The sequence below is a fragment of the Homo sapiens genome, chromosome 19, assembly GCF_000001405.40.
Source record: "Homo sapiens chromosome 19, GRCh38.p14 Primary Assembly".
NCBI lineage: Eukaryota > Metazoa > Chordata > Mammalia > Primates > Hominidae > Homo > Homo sapiens.
In genome coordinates, this window is record NC_000019.10 from 57,168,034 (window position 1) to 57,194,538 (window position 26,505).

The 26,505-nt window shown below is 44.5% G+C and overlaps 1 protein-coding gene, 1 long non-coding RNA gene and 1 pseudogene across 4 annotated transcripts in view, besides 6 other annotated features; all 3 read left to right on the plus strand.

Moving 5' to 3' along the window:
- Positions 3,798-3,847: a silencer, noted in NCBI's record as "silent region_11071". NCBI's record gives its function as "represses an Ori minimal core promoter by ATAC-STARR-seq in GM12878 lymphoblastoid cells {active_cell/tissue: GM12878}" and the evidence as "EXISTENCE:reporter gene assay evidence [ECO:0000049][PMID:35858748]".
- Positions 4,179-4,238: an enhancer, noted in NCBI's record as "active region_15123". NCBI's record gives its function as "activates an Ori minimal core promoter by ATAC-STARR-seq in GM12878 lymphoblastoid cells {active_cell/tissue: GM12878}" and the evidence as "EXISTENCE:reporter gene assay evidence [ECO:0000049][PMID:35858748]".
- Positions 4,211-10,898, plus strand: LOC124904780 (uncharacterized). Its single transcript, XR_007067355.1, has 2 exons — positions 4,211-4,263; positions 10,464-10,898. It is a non-coding gene; the product is annotated as an uncharacterized LOC124904780 (long non-coding RNA).
- Positions 7,185-10,075, plus strand: LOC100132009 (pentatricopeptide repeat domain 3 pseudogene; annotated as a pseudogene).
- Positions 23,303-23,362: an enhancer, noted in NCBI's record as "active region_15124". NCBI's record gives its function as "activates an Ori minimal core promoter by ATAC-STARR-seq in GM12878 lymphoblastoid cells {active_cell/tissue: GM12878}" and the evidence as "EXISTENCE:reporter gene assay evidence [ECO:0000049][PMID:35858748]".
- Positions 23,383-23,472: an enhancer, noted in NCBI's record as "active region_15125". NCBI's record gives its function as "activates an Ori minimal core promoter by ATAC-STARR-seq in GM12878 lymphoblastoid cells {active_cell/tissue: GM12878}" and the evidence as "EXISTENCE:reporter gene assay evidence [ECO:0000049][PMID:35858748]".
- ZNF264 (zinc finger protein 264) overlaps positions 23,467-26,505 on the plus strand; it is a 31,347-nt gene continuing 28,308 nt past the window's right edge. For 2 of the 3 annotated variants that reach the window (NM_003417.5, XM_011527522.3), the window contains exons 1-2: positions 23,467-23,913; positions 25,842-25,968. In NM_003417.5, coding sequence (NP_003408.1) covers positions 23,881-23,913; positions 25,842-25,968 — 160 coding nt within the window. In that variant the 5' untranslated portion in view covers positions 23,467-23,880. The remainder of the gene's footprint in view (positions 23,914-25,841; positions 25,969-26,505) is intronic. The other variant, XM_047439724.1, reaches the window with a different exon arrangement.
- Positions 23,483-23,542: an enhancer, noted in NCBI's record as "active region_15126". NCBI's record gives its function as "activates an Ori minimal core promoter by ATAC-STARR-seq in GM12878 lymphoblastoid cells {active_cell/tissue: GM12878}" and the evidence as "EXISTENCE:reporter gene assay evidence [ECO:0000049][PMID:35858748]".
- Positions 23,713-23,982: a silencer, noted in NCBI's record as "silent region_11072". NCBI's record gives its function as "represses an Ori minimal core promoter by ATAC-STARR-seq in GM12878 lymphoblastoid cells {active_cell/tissue: GM12878}" and the evidence as "EXISTENCE:reporter gene assay evidence [ECO:0000049][PMID:35858748]".

The window sequence follows — 26,505 nt, forward strand, 5'->3', positions numbered from 1 at the left end:
AGTGAGACAGGAACAAAATTTAAGGTGGTGCTAAAAATTCTGTGATCAAGATAAATAGTATTTGAAAGCAATGTATATTTTAAGTAATGTAAAAAGTCCATCTTAACAAAACATAAAGATTGTAAATAAAAAGAAGATCCCACCCTGCACGTGCACGACCCTGCAAGTTATGCAAGTGAGGGTACCTGCGCATTGAAAAAAGATGTCTCACCATTGACCAGTCATTGATCAGTCATTGATCAGTCTTGAGGGAAGCTGGCTGGTGGCTGTCACTTTTTATAGCTGTAATCTACAATAGTGCAGGATAAAAGGGAAAATTTTATTACATGTCTATATTTGTGTAATTTTTTAACTGTTATTAAGAGCACATAAAGAAGTGATATGAATTTCATTTATTGATATATTTGACTATCCATAAATAAAATTTGGCCAGATATCAAGCCATTTTGGAGAAACAATTTCGAACCAGGAAAATGACATGAAATAACATTTAACAGGAAAATTTTACACTTTATTTAATTAAAACAATGATAAATTGTTTTTCTTTTCTGTATATGACATTTCATCACAATATTTTTTCACCAAATTTGTCTGGAAATCTAGAGCAGAATTTTCTGCTGTTTGTTTATATTGATGTTTATATTTTGATGTAAATTATATGTACATCTACTTGAACATTAGTATTACAATTATAAATGTGCTTTAAATTAATTGACACAATATTGGATATTCATTATAATTATATTATCATTAAATATATTATATTAATATATAATATTAATAATATAATCTTGATATACCATATAACAGATATATTACATATTATATTTACTCCAGTTAAATATTATATTTACTTTTTAGCTTTATTGAGGTACAGTTGACAAAAATGATATATATTTAAATATACAATTTGAATTTTGATATACACATATAATTGAATCCCAGATTCAATTACCATAATCAAATCAAGCTGATTGATGTATTTACCACCTCAAACCACACCCTTTGTGTGTGTGTACATATATATTACATTATATTATATTTACTCCAATTATTGTATTTACTTTTTAGCTTTATTGAGGTACAGTTAACAAAAATGATATAAATGATATATATTTTAAATATACAGTTTGAATTTTGAAATACACAAAAGATATAATTACCATAATCAAATCAAGCTGATTGATGTATTTACCACCTCAAACCACACCCTTTGTGTGTGTGTACATATATATTACATTATATTATATTTACTCCAATTAAATATTGTATTTACTTTTTAGCTTTATTGAGGTACAGTTGACAAAAATGATATAAATGATATATATTTTAAATATACAGTTTGAATTTTGAAATACACAAAAGATATAATTACCATAATCAAATCAAGCTGATTGATGTATTTACCACCTCAAACCACACCCTTTGTGTGTGTGTACATATATATTACATTATATTATATTTACTCCAATTAAATATTGTATTTACTTTTTAGCTTTATTGAGGTACAGTTGACAAAAATGATATAAATGATATATATTTTAAATATACAGTTTGAATTTTGAAATACACAAAAGATATAATTACCATAATCAAATCAAGCTGATTGATGTATTTACCACCTCAAACCACTCCCTTTGTGTGTGTGTACATATATATTACATTATATTATATTTACTCCAATTAAATATTGTATTTACTTTTTAGCTTTATTGAGGTACAGTTGACAAAAATGATATAAATGATATATATTTTAAATATAGTTTGAATTTTGAAATACACAAAAGATATAATTACCATAATCAAATCAAGCTGATTGATGTATTTACCACCTCAAACCACACCCTTTGTGTGTGTGCATATATGTTACATTATATTATATTTACTCCAATTAAATATTGTATTTACTTTTTTTTTTTTTTGAGACAGTGTTTCACTCTTGTTGCCCAGGCTGAAGTGCAGTGGGGTGATCTCAGGTCACTGCAGCCTCTGCCTCCCAGATTCAAGTGATTCTCCTGCCTCAGGCTCCTGAGTAGCTGGGATTACAGGCATCTGCCACCACGTCTGGCTAATTTTTTGTATTTTTAGTAGAGATGGGGTTTCACCATATTGGCCAGGCTGGTCTCGAACTACTGACCTCAGGTGATCCACCTGCCTCGGCCTCCCAAAGTGCTAGGATTACAGGTGTGATCCACTGCCCTGGGCCTTGTATTTACTTTTTAGCTTTATTGAGGTACAGTTGACAAAAAAGATACATATTTTAAATATACGATTTGAATTTTGATATACACATATAATATGATATGGTTACCATAATCAAATCAAGCTGATTGATGTATTAACCACCTCAAATTATACCCTTTGTGTGTGTGTGTGTGTGCGGTCAGAACACTTTTTAAAAAAAATATCCTTTTCTCCCCCATGCAGAAGAACACTTAAGGTCTATCCTTGTCGCAAAAAATAAAAATCTATCCTCTTAGCAAATGTCAAGTAGTATTGTTTTTTTCATTTCTGATCATCCAATTTAAAATTTTTTTTTCTAATTTGTTAACTATGTCACATAATGTCACAATGTACATGTCAAATAACGTCACTATGTACCTTAAATCCCCAAAACTTATCTTGCAAAACTGAAAATTTGTACTTCTTGACCAACATTTCCCCATTTCCCCTTCACTCAAGCCCCCGGCAACCACCATTTTACTCTCTGCTTCTATTTTTGATCCAACCTCACTGTTTGTGTCCACGCTCCTTAATTTTCTTGGTCATGAGACCACGAGCTTAGATAACACCTTAGACAATGAGACCAGTGACCCTGACCTGTTTCAGTTTAGTTATTTAAAATATTTTTCTTTCTTTTTTAAATTGTATTTATTTATTTATTTGTTTTGAGAGGGTCTTGCTCTGTCGCCCAGGCTGGAATGCAGTGGTGCAACCATGGCTCACTGCAGCCTCCGACTCCTGGGCTCAAGCGATCTTACCCCCTAGGGCTCCAAAAGTGCTCTGACAGTAAATGCATGAGCTACCATGCCCAGCCATCAAATTTTCAATCATTATAAATCTTAGAGCTGGAAATAATATCTCATTGTTTTATTTTTAATTTGAGCGCTAGCGTGCTTGAACACTTTTAATCAAATGTATTTGCCATATTTTATTTTTCTTTTATTAGCTTTCAGATTCTTTGCTTCTTTCTTAGGTAGAACATTTCTTTGAGACTTAAATATTATGCTGCATTTGTCCTATGTCCTGCAAGTGTTTTCTTAATTCAGTATTTTAAAATAATATTTTGTTTTTATGTTTTTTGTATCTTTATAGCATTCTTCTAAATTGGATCTATGTTTATTTTAATTGTCTAGTCAAAGTACTGACAAGGAGGAGTGAACTTCCTGAAAACGGAGAACAAGATGTGATGCCTTTTAGTAAATGTTTACCAAAAGACACAGGATTCCATTTCCAATTCCATATCGAGAACCTTTAAAATTGTACATAAAAATGCAGGTGAAGTCGTGGAGAAGGGAGGCCAACAGTGCACACAGGTAGTGCCTCTGGGGAAGAATCAGAAGTCATCCTGCATCCTAAATTCCTGACCTGACTTTTCTGCAGGGCGAGTATCTGACCTGTGCTACACCATCAGCAACACAAAGAAAACTTGATGAGCTTTTATTTCCTTTTATTTGTATGTTTCACTCCAGTTTTCAATTCCGTGCCCTCAAAAGCCCGGATATCATCACCGGTACCTCTTTTAAGCTTCACCTCTCTGTGCGGCTCCGCAAGTATGTTGGTCTCCCTGAGAGAGTGGGGCCTGCAACCTGCTGGGCGCAGGCGCCTTGAGCTGCCACGTCTGCCCTTTTACCGGCTTGGGTGCAGGCAAGGGAAATGCGTCCCCGGGCCGGGGGGCGCGAGCGGGGGTCCGGGGCCGCGAGCTGGGGTCCGGGGAGCGCGAGCGGGGGTCCGGGGGGCGGGGGCCGCGGGCCGCGAGGGGGGCGGGGGCCGCGAGGGGGCGGGGCGTGCGAGGGGGCGGGGGCGTGCGAGGGGGCGGGGGCGCGCGAGGGGGCGGGGCGCGCGAGGGGGCGGGGCGCGCGAGGGGGCGGGGCGCGCGAGGGGGCGGGGCGCGCGAGGGGGCGGGGCGCGCGAGGGGGCGGGGCGCGCGAGGGGGCGGGGCGCGCGAGGGGGCGGGGCGCGCGAGGGGGCGGGGCGCGCCGGGCTCGTCCTCTCCGCGGCGCTCAGTGGCAGCAGGGAGGGCCGGTGAGATGCCAGAGCAAGGTAGGGTCCTGTATTTGGGGACCGCTGACGTTTGGGTCCCCCTCCCGCGGCTGTTAGCGCTGCGTGGCCCGAGACCTGCGGTCGGGCGGGGATTAAGGCTGCTTTCCGGAGGGCCCCGGCCGCGTGGTCGCCCTGCCAGAGCGGTTGATGTCAGGCAGTGCTGGGAGGCGTTGCTCTCCGGGTTCGCTTCTCTCCTGTTGTCCTAACTCTGCATCTCTCCCGGGTGAATCACAGAGCTGTAAACTAAAAATCAAATTCTAAGCTCCCAGCCAACTGAATGGACCCCTCCTCTCAGCTAAGAGCATGGCAAACTTAACCGGAAACACTAGTTCGGCCGCGATAGGAAGGAGATGGGACATGCCTCATTTTACCCTCCTCTCTTTGAAATTCAGGCACAGGTCGGGCGCGGTGGCTCATGCCTGTAATCCCAGCACTTTCGGAGGCCGAGGTGGGTGGATCACATGAGGTCAGGAGTTCGAGACCAGCCTGGCCAACATGGAGAAACCCCGTCTCTACTAAAAATACAAAAATTAGCCAGGCGTGGTGGCGGGCGCCTGTATCCCAACTACTCAGGAGGCTGAGGCAGGAGAATTGCTTTAACCCGGGAGGTGGAGGTTGCAGTGAGCCGAGATCGCGCCACTGCCACTCCAGCCTCAGCACCAGAGCAAGACTACGCCTCAAAAAAAAAAAAAAAAAAAAAAGGAATTCAGGCACAGCTGACCAGTATTAACATTAAAACAATTTTTTTTTAGTATCTTCATGCTAAAGGGGTAAGTAGAAATTGCATGTAGCCTCCCATCAGTTTATTCCAAATAGCAAACATTTACCAAGCCCTGAGTTATTAACTACGTATTTTCTTTTTGTAAACCTTACAATTGAGCAGGCAAGTAATAACATTATCTCCATATTTTTAATGTGAGGAAACTGAGGCCCAGGAAGACGTGTAATTTGCCCAATATCAGGTATTCAGTATATTGGAGATTTGAAGGACAAGTTATTTATTTTGAAAAATGTATACCTTTTCCAAAGTTCCAACAATAATTCAATGAACACATTTATTTTGCCCCAGAATTGCCAATGATGTTATGTCCTATAAGGAGGCACCTAAGTATACAGTTTGTCCATTTGGGAGATTTGGATTTTGACTACTTGGTTAAGATGGTATCTACTAGATCTCTCCACTCTTTCTTCTTTGTAATTAATAAGTAATCTGTGGGTCAATTCTTTGCAATGTCTGAATAATATTAAGTCCCCCCACTTCAGCCTCTAGTTTTAGCCTCTGTTGATGATTCTTCCCTGAATCTGTGATCACTGCTTGTGGGGATTCTATTTCTATTACTTCTTTACATTTTATACTTATAAGTTGACACTCCTGTAAAGAACTTTACCCATCCCATTCTTTTTTCTTTTCTTTTTTTTTGTTTTTGAGAAAGAGTCTCACTCTTGTCATCCGGGCTGGAGTGCAGTTGCGCGATCTAGGCTCACTGCAGCCTCCGCCTCCCGATTTCAAGTGATTCTCCTGTCTCAGCTTCCCAAGTAGCTGAGACTACAGGCGTGTGCTACCACACCCAGCTAATTTTGTTTTTTTTGGGTTTTTTTTTTGTTTTTGTTTTTGTTTTTTTTTAGTAGAGATGGGGTTTCACCATGTTGGCCAGGCTGGTCTCAAACTACTGACCTCAGGTGATCCACCCCCCTCGGCCTCCCAAAGTGTTGAGATTACAGGCGTGAGCCACCGCGCCCGGCCCACCTCAGGTGATCCACCCCTCTCAGCCTCCCAAAGTGTTGAGATTACAGGCGTGAGCCACCACGCCGGGCCCACCTCAGGTGATCCACCCCCCTCGGCCTCCCAAAGTGTTGAGATTACAGGCGTGAGCCACCGCGCCCGGCCCACCTCAGGTGATCCACCCCTCTCAGCCTCCCAAAGTGCTGAGATTACAGGCGTGAGCCACCGCGCCCGGCCCATCCCATCCCATCCATTTTAAGTTAGTTAATTATTTTAGAAGCCACATGGAGTGGATGATTTTTATCTGCGGCATTATAATCCATTTATCTCATTGTATTGGTGCTCACACTACCCAGCATTAGCCTCTCCAAACTCAAGTAGGCTTGACTTTCTTATTTCTATCACAGAGCTCCTGAAACCCTTGGAATTTCCTGTGTGTTGAAATGTCTTTTGTTATTTTTAATGACTTTTTGATCACATCTCAGTTTATACCAATGAGATGGCTTAGGGTGGAGACCCTAGACAGCCTCAAGATGAAGCTGGTCACCAGAAAGATTAGAGAGTTGGAACTTTCAGTCCTACCCACCAACCTCTGTGAAGTGGAAAGGGTGGGATGGCTTGACATGAAGCTCTATAAAAACTCTTGGACAACAAGATTTTAGCTTTCCAGATTGCTGAACACATTCAGTGTTCCTGGAGAGGGCATGGAAGCTCCACACCTCTTCTCACATACCTTGCCCTGTGTATCTTTTCTGACTGTTTGTTTGTATCCTTTGTGATATCTTTTATTATAAAACAGTAAACATAAGCAAAGTGTTTCCCCGAGTTCTATGAGCCATTCTAGAAATGAGTTCTAGGGGGTTGTGGGAACCCCAATTCTAATGTAGTTGGTCAAAAGCACAGGCCACAACCAGGTGATTGTGACTGGCATCTGAAGTGAAGGGCAATTCTGTGGGACTTAGTCCTCAACCTATGGGATGTGACACTTCCTTCAAGTAGATAGTGTCAGATTTGAATTATAGGACACCTACTGGTGTCTCCTGGAAAACTGGGATGGATGAAAAAACCTCCACTCATTTGGTCACACAAATGTTCTGTTTTGAGTGAGTTGAAAGAAAAGAACAGTTAGTTTTTTTGCTTTAGATGTGGTGTCAGAAATGGGATGTTGAATGATTGTGTAAGAGTGGGAGCACTTGGCAGAGAAGTCAAAGATGGCGGCTGTAGCTGCTGTTCGCTGGCTGGGGCTCTGCAGCAGGCTTGACCAGCCACTGACGGGTCAGCCAGCAGGTCTATGTGAACAAGCACACAGCTGAGATTTTATTCTGGAAGTGCAACCCTCTCAAATATTGAAGGAACTGATATAACAGGGATTGAAGAAGTAGTAATTCCAAAAAAGAAAACTTGGGATAAAGTAGCCGTTCTTCAGGCTCTTGCATCCACAGTAAACAGGGTTCCCACGGCTGTACCTTGCGTGTTTCAAGATAATCCTTACCTCATACCAACATCCTCTTCAGAATCTCGTTCATTTTTACTGGCAAAGAAATCCGGGGAGAATACGGCCAAGTTCATTATTAATTCATACTCCAAATATTTTCAGAAAGACATAGCTGAACCTCATACACTGTGTTTAATGCCTGAGTACTTTGAACCTCAGATCAAAGACATAAGTGAAGCCACTCTCAAGGAATGAATCAAGCTCAGAAAAGTCAAAGTCTCTGTGGACATGTTTGATGAGCTTTTGCAAGCAGGAACCACTGTGTCTCTTGTAACAACATATAGTCTCTTGGATTTATTGTGTTACTATGGTGACCAGGAGCCCTCAACTGATTATCAGTTTCAACAAATTGAACAGTCAGAAGAATTGGAAGAGGAAAATAATAAGAGGTCTAGGAGGAAAGCTGGTGATCAATTTGGAGTTACCTGGTGAGCACAAAACAACGCTGAGAGAATGTTTTCTCTAATGCCAGGGAAAAATGCACATTCCTATTGCACAGTGATCCGAGGAATGGTGAAGCATCAAGCTTATGAGCAGGCATTAAACCTGTACACTGAGTTACTAAACAACAGACTCTGTGCTGATGTATACACATTTAATGCAGTGATTGAAGCAACAGTATTGGTGATAAATGAGAAATTTGAGGAAGAATGGAATAATATACTGGAGCTGCTAAGACAAATGGTTGCACAGAAGGTGAAACCAAATCTACAGACTTTTAATACCATTCTGAAATGTCTCCGAAGATTTTATGTACTTGCAAGATTGCCAGCCTTACAGATTCTATGTGAAATGAAAGCCATCAGACTAGAACCCTCGCTTGCAACATATCACCATATTATTCAGCTGTTTTATCAGCCTGGAAACCCTTCAAAGGGATCATCTTTCATCATCTATGATATAATGAATGAATTAATGGGAAAGAGATTTTCCCCCAAAGGACCTGGATGATGATAAGCTTTTTCAGTCAGCCATGAGAGTATCTTCATCTCTCAGAAATCTAGAACTTGCGTACCAAATACATGGCTTTTTTTTTTTTTTTTTTTTTTTTTTTTGAGAGAGAGAGTCTCGCTCTGTCACACACGCTGGAGTGCAGTGGTGCAATCTCGCCTCACTGCAAGCTCTGCCTCCCGGGTTCACGCCATTCTCCTGCTTCAGCCTCCCGAGTAGCTGGGACTACAGGTGCCCACCACCACGCCTGGCTAATTTTTTTTGTATGTTTAGTAGAGATGGGGTTTCACAGTGTTAGCCAGGATGGTCTCGATCTCCTGACCTCATGATCCGCCCGTCTCGGCCTCCCAAAGTACTGGGATTACAGGCGTGAGCCACTGCACCCGGCTACATGGCCTTTTAAATACCAGAGACAACTGAAAATTCATTGGACCTGATAAACGGCATAATTCCTATTATTCCATGTTCTTCAATTTGATTTGTCTAATGGAACGAATTGATGTCACCTTGAAGTGGTATGAGGACCTGATACCTTCAGCCTTCTTTCCCCACTCCCAAATGTTGATAGATCTCCGAGCATTGGATGTGGCCAACTGGCTGGAAGTGATTACTCAAATTTGGAAAGATAGTAAAGAATATAGTCACACTTTCTGCAACAACCTGAGAGAAGAGATCCTGACACTCATGGCAATGGATAAGCACCCACCAGAGCTTCAGGTAGCATTTGCTGACTGTGCTGCTGATATCAAATCTACGTATGAAAGCCAGCCTGTCAGACACACTGCTCTGAATTGGCCAGCTATCTGTCTCAACTGTAGAGCTGTCTTTTTTTTTTTTTTTTTTTTTTTTTGGGACGGAGTTTCGCTCTTGTGGCCCAGGCTGGCGTGCAATGGCATGGTCTCGGCTCACTGCAACCTCTGCCTCCGAGGTTTAAGTGATTCTCCTGCCTCAGCCTCCTGAGTAGCTGGGATTACAGGCGTCCACCACTATGCTGGCTAATTTTTGTCTTTTTAGTAGAAACAGGGTTTCACCATGTTGGCCAGGCTGTCTCAAGCTCCTGACCCCAGGTGATCCACCTGCCTCAGCCTCCCAAAGTGCTGGGATTACCTACATGAGCCACTGCGCTCAGCCAGCTGTCCTCTTTTTAATGGCTGGGAGAATCCAGGAAGCCTGGAAAATGTTGGGGCTTTTTAGGAAGCATAATAAGATCCCTAGAAATGAGTTGCTGAATGAGTTTATGGACAGTGCAAGAGTGTCTAACAGCCCCTCCCAGGCCACTGAGGTAGTAGAGGTGGCTCAGCTTACCTATTTGTGAGGGCCTCACCCAGAGAGTAATGACTGACTTTGCAATCAACCAGGAACAAAAGGAAGCCCTAGGCAACTTCACTGCATTGACCAGTAACAGTGATACTGACAGCAGCAGTGACAGCGACAGTGACACCAGTGAAGGCAAATGAAAGTGGAGATTCGGGAGCAGCAATGGCCTCAGCGCAGCTGCTGGAATCACACCTGAGAGCGAGATATGCTAATATTTAACACTGTTACAAAGAAGACAAGATACAGATTGGGTGAATTTGTTACTGTGAGATACAGTCAGTACACAGCTGATTTATGTAGATTTAAGCTCCTAATTTGCAACTTAATAACTGTCTATTAATACACCATTAAAGGTTTAGCATTTAAGTAGCAACATGGCCGTTTTCAGGCCAGGCGCAGTGGCTCACGCCTGTAATCCCAGCATTTTGGGAGGCCGAGGCAGGCGGACCATGAGGGCAGGAGATCAAGACCGTCCTGGCTAACACGGTGAAACCCCAACTCTACTAAAAAATACAAAAAAAATTAGCCGGGCGTGGTGGCGGGTGCTTGTAGTCTCAGCTACTTGGGAGGCCGAGGCAGGAGAATGGCGTGAACCTGGGAGGCGGAGCTTGCAGTGAGCCGAGTTTGTGCCACGGCACTCCAGCCTGGACAACAGAGCGAGACTCCGTCTCAAAAACAAACAAACAAACAAAAAACAAAAATTGCCGTTTACAGACACATGGTGAGGTCCATCGCTCTTGTCATCAGGATAAGCCTGCAACCTACAATGTTGGTGCGCTGACCTCGTGCTGCCGTCCTCGTGTGACTGCCCTCTCCCTGCTGCCGTCCTCGTGTGACTGCCCTCTCCCTGCTGCTGGGTCCTCATGCGATTGCCCTCTCCCTGCTGCTGGGCTTCTGCCTTTGTTGGCCTGATGTGCTGCTGTGATGCTGGTCCTTCATCTTAGAAAGGTGTTCATGCAGTTTTATCACAGGTGGTGTTGGGTCAATAGTTTCCCAATTTCAGGATATTTCCATGTCAGAAATAGTGCATCTTAGGAATGACTAAACAGGATATTGTTGGTTTAGGCTGCACAACTGATAAAATGACTGTAAATAAATGTTGTAATAAATGTAGAAAAAAGAGTGGGAACACTTATAAATATTTGGAAATTAAAATAGTGCCTTTTTAATTTGCATTTTTAGATTTTAAAAATAATTATAGAGTTGCAGAAATTATAAAAAATAGTGCAGAGTTCTGTGTATTCTTCATCCAGCTTATTCAAATGATGACATATTTATATAGTACAATGTTAAAACCAGGAAATTGACATTGCTACAATCTGTAGGCCTTATTTAGAGTTAACCGGTTCTCTACATCTCTCGTTTGTGTGTATATGCGTACTTCTATGCAATTTTAATTTTTTCTTTTTCTTTTTTTTTCTTTTTTCTTTTTCTTTTTTTTCTGAGACAGAGTCTCGCTCTGTCCCCCAGGCTGGAGTGCAGTGGTGTGATCTCGGTTCACTGCAAGCTCCGACTTCCGGGTTCAGGCCATTCTCCTGCCTCAGCCTCCCGAGTAGCTGGGACTACAGGCGCCCGCCACCATGCACGGCTAATTTTTTGTATTTTTAGTAGAGACGGGGTTTCACTGTGTTAGCCAGGGTGGTCTCGATCTCCTGACCTCGTGATCCGCCCGCCTCGGCCTCCCAAAGTGCTGGGATTACAGGCGTGAGCCACCGTGCCCGGCTGCAATTTTAATTTTTTTAATGAAGCTGTAAAGGGAGACTTATACAATAGCATAATATCCATTATTAGTAGCAAAGTAACAGTGTAAGAAACAGTACATCAGACTTAGTCAAAGGGCAAACAAAAGCCAAGTTTGGTGATCAGGGAAAACTCTGCATCCCCAAATGCTTATTGAGTAAAATGAAGGCCTACCAGTCAAAACACCACATTAAACCAGATGCTGGAAAAAGGATGGTGATATGGTTTGGCTCTGTGTCCCCACCGAAATCTCACCTTGAATTGTAATAATCCCCATGTGGCAAGGGCAGGGCCAGGAGGAGATAATTGAATCATGGGGATGGTTTCCCCCGTACTGTTCTGACGATGGTGAGTTCTCATGAGATCTGATGGTTTCATAAGGGGCTTCCCCCTTCACTTGGCTCTCACTTTTCTTACCTGCTACCATGTAAGATGTGCCTGTTTTACCTTCCGCCATGATTGTAAGTTTCCCCAGGCTTCCCTTGCCATGCAGAACTGTGAGTCAAACCTCTTTTCTTTATAAATTACCCAGTCTCGAGTAGGTCTTCATAGCAGCATGAAAACAGACTAATATAGATGCCATGCTCCTCTAATACCAATGTTGCTCTGTGCATGTGTCTTTGTCTATGTAAGAAAGAACTGAAACTAGAAAAGTAGAACCATTACATTTAGATATGTCCTGGCTGTAGTTTGGATGGGTTTGGAGGGCTGACACGATAAAAGTAATCTGACAGATGAGAGTAATGGGTTTAGAAAAATAAATGTGTTGGCTGGGCGCGGTGGCTCATGCCTGTAATCCCAGCACTTTGGGAGGCTGAGGCACGTGGATCACGAGGTCAGGAGATCGAGACCATCCTGGCTAACACAGTGAAACCTGGTCTCTACTAAAAATATTAAAAAAAAAAAAAAAATTAGCTGGGCATGGTGGCGGGCGCCTGTAGTCCCAGCTACTCGGGAGGCTGAGGCAGGACAATGGCGTGAACCCAGGAGGCGGAGCTTGCAGTGAGCCGAGATCGCGCCACTGCACTCCAGCCTGGGGGACAGAGTGAGACTCCATCTCAAAAAAAAAAAAAAAAGAAAAAGAAATTTGTTTCTAATGTGCAGGTTTAATTAGAGTGGAAGATGTCAATAAATAAGGTTTTAGCCAGACACGGTGGCTCATGCCTATAATCCCAGAAATCTAGGAGACCAAGACAGGTGGATTGCCTGAGTTTAGGAGTTTGAAACCAGCCTAGGCAACATGGCAGAACCCTGTCTCTACAAAAAATACCCCCCAACAAAAAAATTGGCCAGGTGTGGTGGTAGGCGCCTGTAGTTCCAGCTACCCTGCAGGCTGAGGTGGGAGGATCGCTTGAGCCTGGGAGGCAGAGGCTGCAGTGAGCTATGATTGTGCCACTTCACTCCAGTTTGGGTGACTAAATAAATAAATAAATAAATAAAATACAATAAAATAAAGAAAAGAAAAGAAAAAGAAGGAAGATTTTAAAGATACCATTGAGTAGCCTAGAGCGCTAAACTCTGATCTGCTTCTCCTTACCTAACCCTTTTGGGTTTTTTGTTTGTTTGTTTTTTGTTTTTTTGTTTTTGTTTTTGTTTTGAGATGGAGTCTTGCTCTGTCACCAGGCTGGAGTGCAGTGGCATGATCTGGGCTCACTGCAACCTCTGCCTCCCAGGTTCAAGTGATTCTTCTACCTCAGCCTCCCGAGTAGCTAGGACTACAGGCAGGTGCCACCACACCTGGCTCATTTTTGTATTTTTAGTAGAGACGGGGTTTCACCATGTTAGCCAGGCTGGTCTCGAACTCCCAACCTCAGGTGGTCCGCCCACCTCGGCCTCCCAAAGTGCTGGGATTACAGGTGTGAGCCACCGCACCCGGCCAATCCTTTCTTGTTACTTTCCTTTAATGCAGAGTTTCTCAATCTTGGCATTGAGAATGGGATGGATAATTTTTGGTTGCAGTGGGACATCCTGTGAAGTTTAATAACTTTAACAGCATCACTGGCCTCTTTTTAGTACATACCAGTGAGGCAGGATAGGTAGTCAAGGAGTGACCATATCCTGGGGACGCAGCAACCAGGGTGTCCATACAATCAACACAATAAGCCTCAGCATTCGAGTGGTAGTTCAGCTCATTCAAGCAAAGCTTTCTTCAGCAGGGAATTTCACCTGTAGGAACATGTGCGCTTTGATTTTACCTTTCCTCAGACACCCTTTGCTCATTATAATAGTAAAAAACAGGCCGGGCATGGTGGCTTACGTCTGTAATCCCAGCACTTTGGGAGGCCGAGGTGGGCGGATCACCTGAGGTCGGGAGTTCGAGATCAGCCTGACCAACATGGAGAAACCCCGTCTCTACTAAAAATACAAAATTAGCCGGCGTGGTGGCACATGCCTGTAGTCCCAGCTATTCAGGAGGCTGAGGCAGGAGAATTGCTTGAACCCGGGAGGTGGAGGTTGCAGTGAGCTGAGATCACGCCACTGCACTCCAGCCTGGGCGACAAGAGCAAAACTCCATCTCAAAAAAAAAAGTAAAAAACACACCCATGGGTGGCGATTTAAGATGTTAATGAGACATGTGACGTATGAACAAGTGTGTACAGCTACTGCACATGTGCACCCAGAGGAGCACCCAGAACATGGTTACTAGTAACACCTCTTTCCCACCTCCTCATGAATAATCATGGAAGTCTGCCATAAAGGGAATCCCCCAGCACCAGTCTTTGCTGTCTAATCCTTAGGAGCACCCCAGCCTGAATTCTCTCTCTCAGGGTGTATTGTCTATTTTTCACCTAATTTTCAAGATATTCTTTTTGCTTTACAATAAATTACTCTGTGCTCCATCTCTTGCTGTGTGATTCTTATTTAAGTTCTTTTAAACTAAGAAGACAAGAACTGAGGTATCACAACACCATCAACACCAGTAGCACCTCCCATCCCGAATATATGTTAGTGAAAAATGTCTCTGGATTTTGCTAAATGATCCCTGGACCATGACACTGACCCATTGCTTGCCTGGCTCCATCATGCTCCAGGAGGAGTGCAATTGAGTCTTTGAGGTTGTTAGGGCTTGTAAAGTTTGGAGGCTTTAAGTTGTACCTGCACCAGTTTTGGAGGTGGACACACACATTTGGGGATGCTAGGACTCTGTTCCTCCCCCAACCCCCAGACTTTTAAGGCACCAAGGAATATAAATATCATTTATTATTTTCCAGGCAGGTGCCAAGCCCTTTTTATTTAATATTCCATACAAAATTTGAAAAATTAAAAACAACCTAAAGTGGAGATTTCTACCTCTACTTTTTCAGATGAGAAAATTGAGAAATCAAAAGTTCTGAGACTCATTTTTTAAATTGAGCTCATATGTTTTGAGTGTTTCTTATGTTGCCAGATGTCAATGGAGTTTCTGGGATCTGAGGGGATGTGGGAAAAACATCGTTTCTTTTTTTTTTTTTTTTTTTTTTTGAAACGGAGTCTCGCTCTGTCGCCCAGGCTAGAGTGCAGTGGTGCGATCTTGGCTCACTGCAAGCTCCGCCTGCTGGGTTCACACCATTCTCCTACCTCAGCCTCCCAAGTAGCTGGGACTACAGGCGCCCGCCACCACACCTGGCTACTTTTTAGTATTTTTAGTAGAGACGGGGTTTCACCATGTTAACCAGGATGGTCTCAGTCTCCTGACCTCATGATCCACCTGCCTCAGCCTCCCAAAGTGCTGGGATTACAGGCGTGAGCCACCATGCCCAGCCGAAAAACATCGTTTCTTAGTTGAGTTATAATTAATATTGAGAGCATTAAATTTATGTAGAAAAATCATTTTTCCTTAAATCCTCAAAGATAACAAACAAGCATAAAAATCATTTATAGATTTAGTATTTTTCTGTTAAAATCATTTACTCTTCTTTGTTTTTGGGTCAGTGTTCAATTGGTTTATACCTTTGATAGTTGAAATTTACTTACTGAATACTGATATCATTTGTGGGTCCTGGTAAATATTTCAAAGTTGTCGTACAAACAGGACAATAGATTCTCTCAACTCTTCAAACGTCTAACATGACAGACTTATAAGTCTTTTTTCTTCTTTTTTTTTTTTTTTTTTTTTTTTTTGTAGAGATGGGGTCTCGCTATGTTGCCAAGGATGATCTTGAGCTGCTGGGCTCAAGGGATCCTCTCACCTTGACCTTGGCCTCCCAAAGTGCTGGGATTATAGGCATGAGCCACCACGCCTAGCCTCTTGCAAAGTCTTATAATGTCGTTTTTAAACTCTTAAGCTGCCAAGTGTGGGTGGCTCATGCCTGTAATCCCAACATTTTGGGAGGCTGAGGTGGGAGGATCACCTGAGCCCAGGAGTTCAAGACCAGACTGGGCAACATGGCAAGAACCTGTCTTTACAAAAAATTAAAAAATAAATTAGCTGGGCATGGTGGTACACACCCACAGTCACATCTACTTGGGAGGGTGAGGTAGGAGGATTGCTTCGGCCTAAAATGTTGGCTGGGCATGGTGGCTCACGCCTGTAATCCCAGCACTTTGGGAGGCCAAGGTGGGTGAGTCATGAGATCAGGAGTTCGAGACCAGCCTGGCCAACATGGTGAAACCCCGTGTCTACTAAAAATACAAAAAAATTAGCCAGGCATGGTGGCAGGTGCCTGTAATCCTAGCTACTCGGGAGGGTGGGGCAGGAGAATTGCTTGAACCGGGAGGCAGAGGTTGCAGTGAGCCAAGATCACGCCACTGCACTCCAGCCTGGGCGACAGAGAGAGACTCCATCTCAAAAAAAAAAAAAAAAAAAAAAAAAAAAGTCAAGGCTGCAGAAAACTATGGTCACTCCACTGCAACTACATCCTGGGCAGCAGAGTGACCTTTAATAAAATAAAAACACCCTTGAGCTACTCTCGTAAACCCAGTAAGACTTACACATTTAATAAATCAGATTGTCTTAAGCCTTTTGACATCCTAAATATAAGCTTATGCAAAGCAGCAACACACATGTAAAATATAAAAGTAACAAAGATAACTTCAATACAATTTTTTTTATTTTAAAAATTTTTTAAGAGTTGGGGGCTTGCTCTGTTGCCTGGGCTGGAGTGCAGTGGCAGGTTCATTGCTCACTGCAGCCTGAAATTCCTGGGTTCAAGTGATCTTCCCATCTCAGCTTCCCAAGTTTTGAGGATTACAGGTGTGAGCCACCATGCTCAGCTCTTAACAACTTTTTTTTTTTTTTTTTTGAGACAACGTCTCCCTCTGTCACCCAGGCTGGAATACAGTGGCACCATCACAGCTCACAGCAGCCTCAACCTCCTAAGCTCAAGCGATCCTCCAGCCTCAGCCTCCTGAGTTACTGGGACGACAGTTGTGCACCACCATACCCAGCTACTTTTTAATTTTTTTGTAGAGATGGTGTCTCACTATGTTACCCAGGCTGATCTCAAACTCCTGGCCTCAAGCAATCTTTCTGCCTTGGCTTCCCAGAGAGAGTTTTTCAGTCCATCATTTTTCAGGATTGTGAGCCAGGGTTCCATTAGATCTTATTGAGATATCTCTTGTGTGTCTGCTGTGTGCCAGACATGGTTTAAAAGACTAGAGATACAGGCCAGGGATGGTGGATCACACGTGCAATCCCAGCACTTAGAGAGGCCGAGATGGGCAGATTGCTTGAGCCCAGAAATTTGAGACCAGCCTGGGCAATATGGCAAAAGCCCATCTACAAAAATAAAAATAAAAATTAGCCGAGCATGGTGGCATAGCTGCATGTAGTCCCAGCTACTTGGGAGGCTAAGGTGGTAGGATCGATTGAGCCTGGGAGATCAAGTCTGCAGTGAACTGAGGTCGCACCACTGCACTCCAGCCTGGGTGACAGAGCAAGACCCTGTCTCAATTAAAAAAACAAACAAACAAAAAAAAAACTTAGGATCCAGCAGTGAACAAAATCATCACTGACGCTTACCCTCATGGAGCTAACATTCTGGATGAAAAGTCAGAAATAAACAATAATTATAATACAGAAATAGACATGATAAGTTAACCAGTGCTATAACAAAAAGAAGGAAAAGGAGAGTAAGGTGGATCAGGGTGTCAGAGTTTGGGGAGTTGTTTGCAATTTTCATTAGAATGATCAGGAAACAGCTTATTTAGAATGTGACATAGATCAAAGTCTATAGGGAGATGAGGGGCTGAGCCATGTGGAGATTGGGGTAGGAAGTGGATTTCCTGCCACAGGCTTTCAAGCAAGCATATAATATCCAGGGCTGGGTGCTGTGGCTCACGCCTGTAATCCCAGCACTTTGGGAAGCCAACGTGAGAAGATTGCTTGAGGCCAGGAATTCAAGACCAGCTTGGGCAACATATTAAGACCCCCATCTCTATTTTTTTTAATCTTTTTTTTTTTTCTTTTGAAACGGAGTCTCGCTCTGTCGCCAGGCTGGAGTGCAGTGGCCCGATCCCAGCTTACTTCAATCTCTGCCTCCTGGGTTCAAGCGATTCTCCTGCCTCAGCCTCCTGACTAGCTGGGATTACAGGTGTGTGCCACCACGCCTGGCTAATTTTGTATTTTTAGTAGAGACTTCCCCATGTTTGCCAGGATGGTCTCGAACTTCTCACCTCGAGTGATCCACCCACCTCAGCCTCCCAAAGTACTGGGATTACAGGTGTGAGCCACCACACCTGGCCAAAATAAGCCTTTTTTACTGTATTTATTTGAAGATTAAAGATGGTTTAAGGTGACAAGGGGTAGAGTATGATTGCCAACTATATGTGTAAACTTGTTTAGGCTGTACTACCCAGAAATTGTATTAAACACTGACCAGGGTATTGTTATGAAGGTATTTCATAGAAACGGTTAACATCTATAATCAGTTATTTTGATAATGTAGGTGGTTCTTATCTAATCAGTTGAAAGGCCTTAAGAGAAAAACAGGGTTCCCTGGGGAAGAAATTCTGCCTCAAGACTGCACCTTCAGCTCCTATCCACGTTTCAATTCTGCTGGCCTGAACTCTAGCCTACAGATTTGGGACTGGCCTGTCCCTGCAATCACATAGCCCATTTCTTCTTCTATCTTTTTTTAAAATTTTTATTGTAGGCAAGGTGGGTGGCTCACACCTGTAATCCCAGCACTTTGGGAGGCCAAGGTGGGCGGATTATGAGGTCAGGAGTTCAAGACCAGCCTGGCCAACACAGTGAAACCCCATCTCTACTAAAAGATATAAAAAATTAGCCAGGCACAGTGGCGGGCACCTGTAATCCTACCTACTCAGGAGGCTGAGGCAGGAGAATTGCTTGAACCCAGGAGATGGAGGTTGCAGTGAGCCAAGATTGCAACACTACACACCAGCCCGGGTGACAGTGCCGAGACTCTGTCTCAAAAAAAAAAATTATTGTGGAGGAATGGTCTCACTATGCTGCACAGGCTAGTCTCTTAACTCCCGGCCTCAAGAGCCGGGTCTGTCCTGTAGACCCTGGCTGAGCGATGGATGAAAGGAGTACTCAGACACAGGTATGTAGTGTAAGAGCAGCTAGGGGACTGCTGAAGAGTGAGCAGTCTTGATAAGCTGGGACTGCTTGCTTTTATTCAGTACAGACATAATGCCAAAAGCCTGGAGCCAACACAGTCTGTGGGTAATTAACATTATTGTTCCCCCTTTTGGGGGCAGCCTCACTCGTGAATGATCAAATGTTGGTTCCTAGTTAACATAAGTAAACAAGCCTGTTTATGTTAAATTCCCCTACACTTCCTTGTACCTACTCCTTGCCCTCTGCCTTAGGGTAAGAGAACAGCTGCTTTCAGCTTATTCTCCCGTGAAGCTATGCAGAGACTTCTGACCTTTCAGAAGGTTTGCGTCCTTTTCTTATAGCTTCTCCCACCACTCTGACCGATCTCCTACACTCAAGCAATCCTCCTTCCTCAGCCTCCCAAAGTGCTGGGATTACAGGCATGAGCCACCGCACACCACCCCCATTTCTTGCAGTAAAATATGTGTGTGTGTGTGCGCGTGTGCGCGCGTGTGTATTCCATTTCTCCCTAATACCATTTCTCAGCTGCATGAATCCTTAACTCATGAAAGATACTTTTTATCCTCTTGACTCTACAGTTAATGGAAAATAAAAATCATCAATAGTGACTTCTAAGATTGCTTAATATACCTTTCTGGGAGGACAGTTAGAACTCCTAATGTGAGCTTGTCAGTTTCTTGTGAAAACCAACCCAGTTGTCCCATAGAACTGATGTTTGTGGTTTCTTTTGACTGAACCTAGAAATTGACCCTCCCACTCTTAAAACTTGAGAAAAGTACATTTGTCATAATCGTTTGTCACAGAAATAACCAAATTTCCTTGTCCATTGTTTTTTAACTATGGTTGTCCTAAGACTTTTGTCATCCACAATTATTGTTTGACTTTGAGTCTTCTCCAAAGGTGGCTTACAGTCAGCTACAGTTCAGGGCTTCTTTGAGAGAGTTCATAAAAAGAACACTTGAATTCAAGTTTCTGGTAACTTTGGAGATTGTCCTATCAGCCTAGAGAGAAAACTTCCAGGACTCTAATTAGAAGGCTGATATATTCATAAAATACATAATTATGTATACATATGTTTATGCAATATGAAGCAGAGCAGGAGTTTCATGGACTGTACTAATTTATTTCATGATAAATAAAAATATTTTATTATATAGTATATTAAGCCATCTTAGAAGTCACTGTTGATGATTTTTTTTTCTCCATTAACTGTGGAGCCAAGAGGGTAAAAAGTATCTTTCATGAGTTAAGGATTCATGCAGTTGAGAAATGGAATTAGGGAGAAATGGAACACACACACACAAACACAGAGATTTATTTCAAGTACTGAATTTATTTTATTATTTTTTGTGTGTGTTTGAAACATTGCTGATTCTTTTTGTTTTGTTTTTGAGTCAGGAGAACTTTTTTTGTAAATCTACTTTCTGTCTCTATGAAACTTTTTTCTTTCCAGCTATTTATAGCCTTTAACAATTGAATATACATTTGTAAACAAAATTTGAGGGCTATTTCTCTCTCTGCCTGATTTCTCCAGAATTCAGAAACTATTTGTGAATATTCTTAATTCACGGCAATGTGGTTGTTTGCATATGTTCAATAAGAATCTGTTTTCTAGCTAGGTGTAGCATATGTTCAATAAGAATCTGTTTTCTAGCTACTTGGGAGGCTGAGGCAGGAGGATCGCTTGAGCCCAGGAGTTTGAGGCTGTAGTGAGCTATGATCGTGCCACTACACTCCAGTCTGGGTAAACAAGCAAGACCCTATCTCTATTTTTTAAAATCCATATTATTTTATAACACAATTGTAGGCACTGGGTCTTTTCCCAAGGCTTTGACAGGAATGGCATATTTTTAACTATGCGAGACTGCTTTGAGGAATTAAGACTGACTTTATGGGCCAGGCGTGGTGGATCATGACTGTAATCCCAGCACTTTGGGAGGCCAAGGCGGGTGGATCACGAGGTCAGGAGATCGAGACCATCCTGGCTAACATGGTGAAACCCCATCTCTACTAAAAATATAAAAAATTAGCCGGGTGTGGTGGCAGGCGCCTGTAGTCCCAGCTACTCAGGAGGCTGAGGCAGGAGAATGGCGCGAACCCAGAAGGCAGAGCTTGCAGTGAGCTGACATCACGCCACTGCACTCCAGCCTGGGCGGCAGAGCAAGACTGTGTCTCAAAAAAAAAAAAAAAAAAAAAAAAAAAGACTGACTTTATGGAGCTGATGGGAGCCCTTGGAAGGACTGGCCTCATATCTTGTGCACACAGTTCCTTTGTGGGGTTCCTGGCCTGTAGTAAATACAGTGTCATTTTCTGATAGGCCTAGGAACCTCAAGATGTTCTGGGGCCTCAAGAAAAACGGGTTTCACCCAATTCATGCAGGTATGTACAGGTGCAGACAGATCTTTGGCTGGGCTTAAGAGGTCTTTGGGTGTTGAGTCTGAGAGATTCCTTATGAGGGGTTCCAGCAAAGCCAATTTAGGAGGAATTGTATAAACAGTGATTCTTGCTGTAGTTTGGATAAGTATGGTGGGACTGAAGCTTGTTTTGCAGGTAAGTTGTTCCTGCTGTGATTTGCTTTTGATGGAAGTCAGGGACTAGAGAGAGAAAAACTGTTTCCAAAGAAAACTATAGTGCTGCCAGGTGCAGTGGCTCAACTTTGGGAGGCTGAGGTGGGCGGATCATGAGGTCAGGAGTTTGAGACCAGCCTGGCCAACATGGTGAAACCCCGTCTCTACTAAAAATACAAAAATTAGCCAGGCATGGTGGTGGGCACCTGTAATCCCAGCTACTCGGGAAGCTGAGGCAGGAGGATCGCTTGAACCTAGGAGGCAGAGGTTGCAGTGAGCGGAGATCGTGCCACTGCACTCCAGCCTAGGTGAAAGAACAAAACTCTGTCTCAAAAAAAAAAAAGAAAGAAAGAAAGAAAACTATAGCGTTAGATTAACCTTTGAGTTAATCTGAGTGGCCACGTGGTCATCTATGGTATGCAGCCACCCACAATACCCCTCCTCAGCATAAAGCAGCCAGAAAGATCACGTCCAGATTCCCCATGATTGAGGAATTGATAAATAGAAACAGGGAACTGAAACCAGCTCCAGTGTCCCATAGAACTGATATTTATGGTTTCTTTTGAATCAACACATTATAGACATTGAGCCTCCCCTTCCTAAAACTCGAGACACTTTTATTTGTCTTATCTGATTTCCTTTCTCAGGAAACCAAGCATCAGGCCTCCCAGATAGTATAAAGAAACTGAAACTTACTGGATTACCACATCTGGAAAAACGAGATGCTATACCCCTTACCCATGATGATTGCCTAACTGACCATCTGCTGCCTGTTGACCCATTCCTCTTCCTTACCCCTTCCTAATTCCTGTTTTCTCAAACATAGTTACACTTCTTCCCTGATGTATAAACCCCTAGTTTTAGTCAGTTGAGGAAAGAGATTTGAGATTGATCTCCCATTTTCCTCAGCTGCAGCACCGAATAAAGCCTTCATCCCTGACAATACTCATTGTCTTGCTGACTGGCCTTCTGTGCAGCAAGCAGCAGGATCTAGATGCAAGGACCTGGCCTTTCTGGTAATATTGTCATCAACCATTTAATGATGTAGACTTGGTCCCCGGCTCATGCTCTGTGTATTTTCTTCTCCATCTACATGCATTGCCTTGATGGTCTCACTCAATATCATGACTTGAAATAACAGTGTAAGGTAACTCCTAAATTCATATATTCATGCTCAAACCTTCTTCCAACATTCAGTCGTAAGTCGAATTGCCTGTGACAGAGATACTTTGTGGTTCTGTAGACATTTCAAACTAACCATCCTGAGCCTCCGAACCTCCTCCACTTGCAGCCTCCCCACCTCAGAAGTGGGCAAATCCACTTTTTGTGTGGTCTGGGCCAAATACATGACTCCCTGCATCACGTAGAGGCTGTGCTGGTCCAAAGAAGGCTCAAAAGAGGGCAGTTTGCGCACACAACGTGTCGGGGCAGGGCTTCCAGATGATCATTCGGCTTTTTTGTGTCTTCCAAGATGATGATCCGGGGAGGAGGGATGTGAAAGGGGGTCAGTCGCCAGGCGAGCTGAGGACCCAGTTCTGCGCCTTTGCCTGTGCCCTGACCTGAAGGAAAGTCCCTGTCTCCCGAGCTCCGATTTTCCCGAGAGAAGAATGCAATGTAACCCTTGCCCCTCGGTTCCCTCCCTCCATCCTTCCCCTCGAGTTGTGCCCACCGTAAAGAGGTGGGTCTGGAGCGTCTCCTCGGGTCCTGGAGTGCCTTTCCCTGGGAGGAAAACTTGCGCCGTGAAGCGTTCCTCCCGTTGTTGAACACATGAGGAAAACTACACTACTTAGAAGGCTGTGCATTATGCGTACGGCGGGAGCTGGGCCAACGACGGCCTAGGACGGGGACGTTTCCGACGGCTCACGCCGGTGGGGGCGGGACTTCCGGGTTGCTCGCTGCGGACGCCATTTTCTTCTGCACTTCTGTCTGGAGAGGTCTGTAGCCACTGAGGGCCCCGGTCGGGGCCGCTTTGCAGGTCCCTAGTCAGGACCGAGCAGGGGAGTAGGATAGGAATCCCCGCCGCACCTTTGTACGAGCCTGACCCCTTCCGTGGGTTTGTTCCTGGGTCGCCGTCAAGCTGCGGTCTCTCCTCCCCCGCCCTTCAGCCCCGCGGTCTCCAGGGGCGGCGCCCTGGGTCTGGAACGCGGTTGCCACCGAGGAGGCGGCGGCCCTGCGTCTGGAACGCCGTTGCCACCGAGGAGGCGGCGGCCCCGAGCGCGCCTGGAAGCCCCGGGCAACCGGCCAGGGTCGGGCACAGGTGGGGTCCGTCAGGCCGCCCGGGGCTCCTCTGTCCCAGCTCTGCGGCCCAGGGGGTGACGTGATGGCGGCAGCGGTGCTGACGGACCGGGCCCAGGTGAGTGGACGGTGGCTTCGCGGTTGCCGCTTCCTTGCCAGCGCTGAGGCGGTTTCCGAAGTGGGTGGGAGCCCAGGTATCCCCTGGATTTGTCTTCGCAGTCGTCGTTCGCTTTGGTGTGTGGAGCTGGTTTGCCACTTAATTTATACCTGGCCGTAAGGAGTGTTGGGCCTACTGGAAGGAGCTCCGTAGGTTGTTGAGTGAATGATGCTTCCTCTGGGGACTCCCATCATCCTTGGCCTGCAAGCATTCTCTGGTGGACCAGGTCTCATTCCAGCATGAATTGGGGGCCTGAGGGGGGAAGGGGAGGGCAGGGCAGTAGCAAGCCGACAAATGCGCGAGCAGAGACAAGGTATGTTGTATGTTTAAGGAGGCTCAGGAGGGTGTGTAAGGTTGCCATGGTTTTCCTGCGGCCGCTGAGACGTGGAGGGCAACAGTGTGTGGTCTTTTCCTGGATGTTCTAGCCATCCGCAACTACTGCAGACATTGTGGCCAGTCAGATGCCCTTACTCTCATCGCTACAGCCTGCATTATCCTTGGCCGCTCGTGTTCCGTGGCCCCAAAGTATCCTGGCGTCAGAGACAAGTTCTGTCGGAACCCAGTAAGGAAAGAGGCCGATGGTTGGTTCATTGTGGAATTTCCTTGGGGGATCTGGGAGACCCAGGGAGATCCCAGAGGGCATGGGAAGCTGGTCTGGAGCCTGTCGTTCCCCAAGTAGATGCAGCCCTTCCAGTGCCGCTCTGTGGGGTCAGTGAGGAATGCTGAGCTTTTTGTGCCCGTGTTCACATACTTTTTTTTGTTTTGAGACAGGGTCTCACTCTGTCGCCCAGGCTGGAGTACAGTGGTGCACTCTCAGCTCACTGCAGTCTCTGCCTCCCAGGTTCAAGCAATTCTCCTGCCCCAGCCTGCCGAGTAGTTGGGATTACAGGCATGCACTACCACACCTGACTGATTTTTGTATTTTAGTAGAGACTGGGTTTCACCATATTTGCCAGGCTGGTCTTCAACTCCTGGCCTCAAGCGATCCGCCCACCTCGACCTCCCAAAGTGCTGGGATTACATGCATGAGCCACCATGCCCGGCCCACAGATACGTTTTTCAGGGCTAATTGAAATAGACTTAATGTTAGAAATGAGTGGAAATGCTTATAACTTCATCGCATTAGATTTGCTTTGATGTTGGGGGAGTGTTGGAGTTACACTGTTAGACCGTGAATCATAGTAACCCCATGTTTAGATCCTATCTATGGTGGTGAGATGTGTGACTGGGTGAATTGATAGCGCTTCCTTAGCATGAAGTCATTGACTGTGAAGGTGATGATGGTGTTGACTGCAGGGACTGTGAAAGGATTAATAAAAATCCCAGAGCACACTGAGCATTGAATACTTTAAATTTAACAACTGTTACTGGTGGGAAGTGTTATTGTATTGATCCAGAAATCAAGGCTCAGAGAAATGAAATGCTGTCTTTGAGGTAAGAGCTGTCAAGTGTCAGTTTCAAGTGTTTGGAGCTAGGAACTTCTAGTCACTGTGTTTACACAGGATGTGAAGCCTTCAACATGGGGCAGGCACCTAGCTGGACCAGTGAGACTCAGGTACTGCCGTTGTAACCATTATTGCTATTATTACCATTTCCCCATTTCCCTGTCGTTTTAGAGCCCTTAGCTTCTGTATTTCACAGTCCACAAGTTGTTTCCGTTGTCCTGTGTCATTCTCTAACGGCCGTTAAATAGGAGGCTTCTCTCCTTTACTCTGGTATTATGTTAAAAGCATCTATCTTCCCTCTTGAGCCCAGCACAGAGCTAGGCCCTCAGGAGGTGCTCTGTGATTCAGGCCGCCATCACTGTACACCTTTTCCAGTGGAGCACAGTCTGTGATCTCATTCAGCAGCTGAAAGGCCAATACTACTAATTCTGTTTGACTTTCCAGGTGTCTGTGACCTTTGATGATGTGGCTGTGACTTTCACCAAGGAGGAGTGGGGGCAGCTGGACCTAGCTCAGCGGACCCTGTACCAGGAGGTGATGCTGGAAAACTGTGGGCTCCTGGTGTCTCTGGGTAAGGCCTTCCTTCCCCCTCCACCATGCAGGTGACCTGCCACTTCCTTCATTCCATCTTCTGACTCCAGGCCTGGCTGCACAAGAAGGCCTCTAGAATCTACCTTGCCTCTTTCCCACAGCTTTAGTCATTTTCCACAGTAACCTCTTCCTATCTGGTCTCCTATATCTCTGGGCTAAAGACAGGGTACTCTTTGGCTCCCAGCCAAAGGAGAAGGTGGTAAAAGGAAATGGGGTGTTTTGCAAACTCAAAGGTAATTTTCAGCTGTGCCTCATGAGGGGCTGGTGTAGGAACTGAGAACCACCACGATGGTGTCCTGGCTTCTCTGTCTGGGTCTGCTCATGTCACGTCTATTCTCTATGGCTTTTTCTGCCTTAGTGAGTTCAAGACAAGAGTGGCCACCTGGATTAGGGTTCTCTAAAGGGACAGAACTAATAGAATAGATATATATAAAAAGGACAGTTTATTAAGTAGTAATAACTCATGATTACAAGGTCCCACAGTAGGCTGTCTGCAAGCTGAGGAGCAAGGAAGCCA